General features: G+C 45.1%; 1 annotated feature.

The window, feature by feature from the left end:
• Positions 1485 to 2684: an enhancer, noted in NCBI's record as "CDK7 strongly-dependent group 2 enhancer chr2:239592463-239593662 (GRCh37/hg19 assembly coordinates)". NCBI's record gives its function as "activates an origin of replication core promoter dependent on BRD2, BRD4, P300/CBP, MED14 and CDK7 cofactors, with strong dependence on CDK7, by STARR-seq in HCT116 cells {active_cell/tissue: HCT116}" and the evidence as "EXISTENCE:reporter gene assay evidence [ECO:0000049][PMID:35650434]".

Consider the following 5106-nt stretch of genomic DNA (forward strand, 5'->3'; position numbering starts at 1 on the left):
TTCTATTCTCATACTTCCTCCTTAGAAACAGTTTTGTTATTAACATCTTTTGTGATATATTTTTTGGACATGGCTTACATTTGGAGAAAAAGAGTATTGAATTTCTAGAAGTAGAATGGGCCACTTCATGGGCTAAAGCAGCAGTCCCCAACCTTTTTGGGACCAGGGACCGGTTTTGTGGAAGACAATTTTTCCACAGATGGGGCTGGGGGATGGTTTTGGGATGATTCAAGTGCATTACATTTATTATTAGATTCTCATAAGGAGCTTGCAACCTAGATCCCTCACATGTGTAGTTCACAATAGGGTTTGCACTCCTATGAGAATTGAATGCCACTGCTGATCTGACAGTAGGCGGAGCGCCGCTAGCCCACCACTCACCTCCTGCTGTGCAGCCAGGTTCCTAACAGGCTGTGGACCAGTACTGCTCCATGGCCCAGGGACTGCGGACCCTTGGGCTAAAGGGCCTATTTTTGGAGCTTCTACTGCATGTGTGTATTGCCAGTCTTCAGTTCAGAATAATTTTCATGTCTACCTAGTCTTCAGGATAGTATTGATTTGCCTTCTCACGTTTTTCACCAATCTGGGACACTACATTTCATAGACCTTTCCTTTATCGTAGGAAAACATGTCATTTAAAAAAATTATTAATGAGATTAAACTTTCCCCTACTTTATATAGTATGCATATTCGTGTGCTTAGCACACCTTATTCCATAGCTTATTGAATTTTAAATGCAATCTCTATATGAAGACCATTAACAATTTGTATTTATATTGTTTCCATTTCATCATTTCCCTTTTTATTTCATCGTTGACATAAAGAAGTCTTACATGTTTAGGTTGACTTATCTATCAGTTTTTCTCTTACAGTTTTTGCCTTGGGGTCACCTTGAAATTCTCCATCCCATCTATGGTCATATAAATATTCGATTATCATCTATTTTAAGAGTTTTATAATCTTTTCTTTAATATTTAATATGTTAATCACAATTGAAATGATTTTAGTTTAAGACACAGATTAATTATAAATGTTAGTACCTAAACTCCACTTAGTAACTAACTCATGCTTTCCCCATTGATTTGCAATGCCACCATTACTGTGCATTCACTGTCTTTACATAGATATAGCATAGGAAGCCCTTGGAAATTAAAGAACAAACTTGAGTCAGAGGTGTAAGAAGTAGCTGTGAAGTTTCACCTGCAATCATCTCTGGGATTCAGGATGTATTTCCTCTGGGAAATGCAGGGCTACTCTCTGAGTGTCCGTCATACCTGGGGCACGTCTTCCTGGTCCTCAGTTCTTCCTGGTCCTCAGGGCATGGTCAGTGGTTGCTCAGTTGATCCTGACTCCAGCCTCTTCATCTTCAAACCAGTATCAATTGTCTTTCTTTTTCTTCTTCCTAGGTTTAGATTTCAAGGTTCCAGAGGGTGAGATTCATTTTTTTTCCTCCCACAACCTAACCACCCAATGCACAAACCCCCTTTCTTAGGATGGGCTCCCCCAGTAGCAGCCCCTGAGACAAGGATTTGAGCACAAGTAATTATTTTGAGGGTGATTCCAGGAAGCACTGTTGGGTGAATGCAGAATGAAAGATCGGAAAAATGCAAGAAGGAGCATCATTGACTGCTGTGGGGGCTGGGCCCAATCCCACGGGGGACCTCCGGCCAATTATAGAATGTGCATCAGTGTTGGCCAACCTGAGGAGTAAGAAAGTTGGGGTCTTTACCCACCAACTCTTGTCAGTCACTGGGTGAGGGTTGTTCCCAGGGGTGCCTTTAACTCCCTGGTATTTCTGGCTTGATCCTCCTTGCAGAGAAAGCCTTAAGACAGAGCTGCAAGCACCTCCAGTTGGAGGCCGCGGGGGCCTATGGGCAGGTCACCAACTGTGACTGCTGAAGTCCACCCCTTGAAAGCATCCCTGACTGATTGTTGTTCAGCTCCCACTGAAAATGCTTTCAAGTTGGGATAATTCGAGATGGACTTTGGCATGGGTGGGCAACTCTCTTTAGAAAGTCTTTCCCTATACTGAGCCCAAAATGTTGTTCATAAATCTTCCACATGTTGTTCGAATTCTGCCATCTGGGGGAAAAAAGTGTAAAAAATATTTTCCAGACATATTTGAGAAATTACCCAGAAACACCAGACTTGACCCTCTTGCACAAACTAGGGCATAATACTAAGTTGCACAACTCTGAATGTCTGCCTCATCCTCTATGTTTGTCCATTGTTGTCATTGCTTAGAACAGCCAGGATGACGCTTGTGCGGGTGGAGGCTAAGGAAAGGCAACTAGATTCTACTTCAGTAGTGTGGGTGAGGAGAAGGTCAACTTAGCCAATGAGCACCTTGATTATGTCAGTTGCTCCAGGGAGTTGGGGAAAAACATACACGGTCTGACTAATCCATGAGTCATATGAATGTTTATTCTCATTTTCAGATTTTTAAAAACTCACAAATGCTTCCCTCCCACAAGCAAACAGTTGCCGTTTTTTGTTCTAGAAGACTGTAGACCAGCCAATTCTATCATAATTTTAATCTCTTACCACATACTAATGGAATACATGCATTTAATTTGGCCTAGAGCAAGATGGGCTCCCAAGGCAAAATCTGACTTGAATCTGTTCCCTTCCTTTCTTCACAAGCAAATCCCAGGAGGCAGTTGCAAGGAGCTCAGCACTCAGAGCCACCCCTTGACAAGTTCACAAGCCAATGATGCTGGGAAGGAATTTACACTTTGCATTCGCTGGCTTTTCTTCAAATATTTGGGTGGAGCACTTGCATCTCGTATTTTAGTGACAAGGAGGGTGATAAATGAGATCATAAACTAAGTTCTGTTGTCATCACTTTACCAAAGTTGAGTAGGATTAATTACAAAGAATCTGAGCTGAGAGTACCCCTCAAGGTCAGAAGTTGACTGCAGTGGCCTTCAGTCTTGCAAGACGTTCCATGAAACCAGAAGAATCTTATTTCTACCATTTTAGTTGACTCACATTCACAGGTCAGCAGGGAGACCTGAGTCTGGAATTTGGAGTTAATTTCTGGCCTAGGAATTAGAGGCCAGGCTGCACAAACCTGCAATAGGAAGATCTAATTTACAAAGGCAATCCCATCCTCCCTGGTAGTGTGCACCTGCATCCTCGGCCCCTAACACATGTGTTCCCAAGGCCACCTTCTCCATGAGCCCCGGACTCTCCATCACCCCACAGCTGGGCACTGCTGCTGGCTAGATCTCCAAGCTCACTGGACTGAGCAGGGCTGGGTTCGCAGTGTGGGCCTTGCTCAGAGGAATTGCAGAGGTGTCCTGAACACTCTTGAGTTCTGTTGGTGATGAGATTGGCTGCTTGTTTTCGAGAACTGAGAGTTTTCATTCATGTTGTCAGTCTCATTCATTATCTATTTTTTTATTAAAAAATGGAAATTTCATTAACTCAAAATGAAAATGTCCATTGCCATACATTATTGGGGACAGATGTTCAATTTCAAAGCATGCATAAGTGTACTGTATTTTCCAACAGGGGGTAGGAGCCAGACACTCCTAAGAGCCCTTGCCAATCAGCAGCGCCCCCTGCCCCACACCCACTGCCAACACACACACTGTGGCCAGATTTGCTGTCATGGAGCCCAGAGTCCTGGGATCTAAAGGGGGTCATCTGCCTGGCCTGACCTCAAATCCTACCCTGATGCTGTCCTCAAGAATGGGTGTTTTCTGAGGTTCGGTGTCTGTCTGTCTCTGCCCTGGCTGCCCTTTCTCCCTCCACAGCCCCATCTATCTCCTGATGAACACTTTCTGTTACACTCGGCCACCCTCCTCAGCCTCAGCCGAGAGGATGGGGTGAGAGGAGAGGACACAGATAATATATACAGTCTATTATATCTCAGCTATAATAGATAAAATTTTCACAATAATGACCCCCTAACTTGTGTGACCAGCCCCCAGGCTAAAGTGATCTTGGGCCAATGGCACTAATAGCTGTCAGGCAGTGGGATGGGCTACTTCTTGAGCTGGAAATGGTGCCACTGCACGGATCTGTGGTGCCTTCATGGCAGGCACATGACACCTATGCAGCCCTGGCAAACAGCAGTGTCCTCAAGGGAACTGTCTCTCTCTGCGACGTCTGGGTAGGGGCACCGTGACATGCCACAGGGAGCGGTACTCCATGAGAGCAAAGGACACATGTAGGCTTAGCAAGGAAACTCACCAGTGTGACCTCAGTGTTCAGAGAGCAGGTGCGAAATCGGCTTCATGAGCTGCCTGAGTCAAGAGTAGCTCAGGGCTGATGGATGCCCATGCACCATGATGAGGTTATCTAGAACAGAAAATACAAGCATAGCTAGAGATGAAAGAAGGAATAAGAAAACACATACGGGAAGGACTGCTAAGAGGCAGGAAGAGACACAAAGGGGGCCTGGTGTGAGGAGGAAATGTGGTTTTGAAGTCAAAGACAGTCACTCCAGAATTTAAAGTCCTGTCAAAGGCAAAACAGGTCCTTCGGGAAGCTCCCTCGTGATGTGGAGTGGGAGCCCGGAGGCCTCCAGAATGCATAGGGACGAGGCAAAAGGGTGGATGGGATTTTAAACAAGAGGAGAATAAAAGGATACTGCATATGGGGGAACGTCTGAACTATGGGTGTCCTCAAGGCAGAGCCAGACTCCACGGGATGAAAACCATATTCAGAGACACAGCAGGGCAGCAAGATGGGTCTGCAGAAGCTCCCCCAGCACCTGCTAAATCAACAGAAATAGAATACAGAAAGAAACACATCCCTCGACATACACCAATAAAACACTTAAGCTGCAAGGAAGAAGGGATCTTTCAAACACTTAGGTCAAAAAACAACAGCACCACAAGGAAAAAGCTCTGAAGGCCTGAGGCTTCCCCTTGGCTGCACACAGATGCATAAACTGCTTATCACATGAAGCAACAGGAAGACCACCTTTGGTGTACAGGCATTAAGAAGACTGGTGGCTGCCGCTCTTCCTCGTGTCTGCTGATGAAAAGGCATAGCAGAGAAGAGATCGACCCAAGTGGCCCAGAATGAGGCTCACAACAAAATCCCCGTTGATAAGACAAGAAAAAAACCAAGCTATGACACAGAGGAGACATT

Source organism: Homo sapiens, chromosome 2 (genome assembly GCF_000001405.40).
Source record: "Homo sapiens chromosome 2, GRCh38.p14 Primary Assembly".
Lineage (NCBI taxonomy): Eukaryota > Metazoa > Chordata > Mammalia > Primates > Hominidae > Homo > Homo sapiens.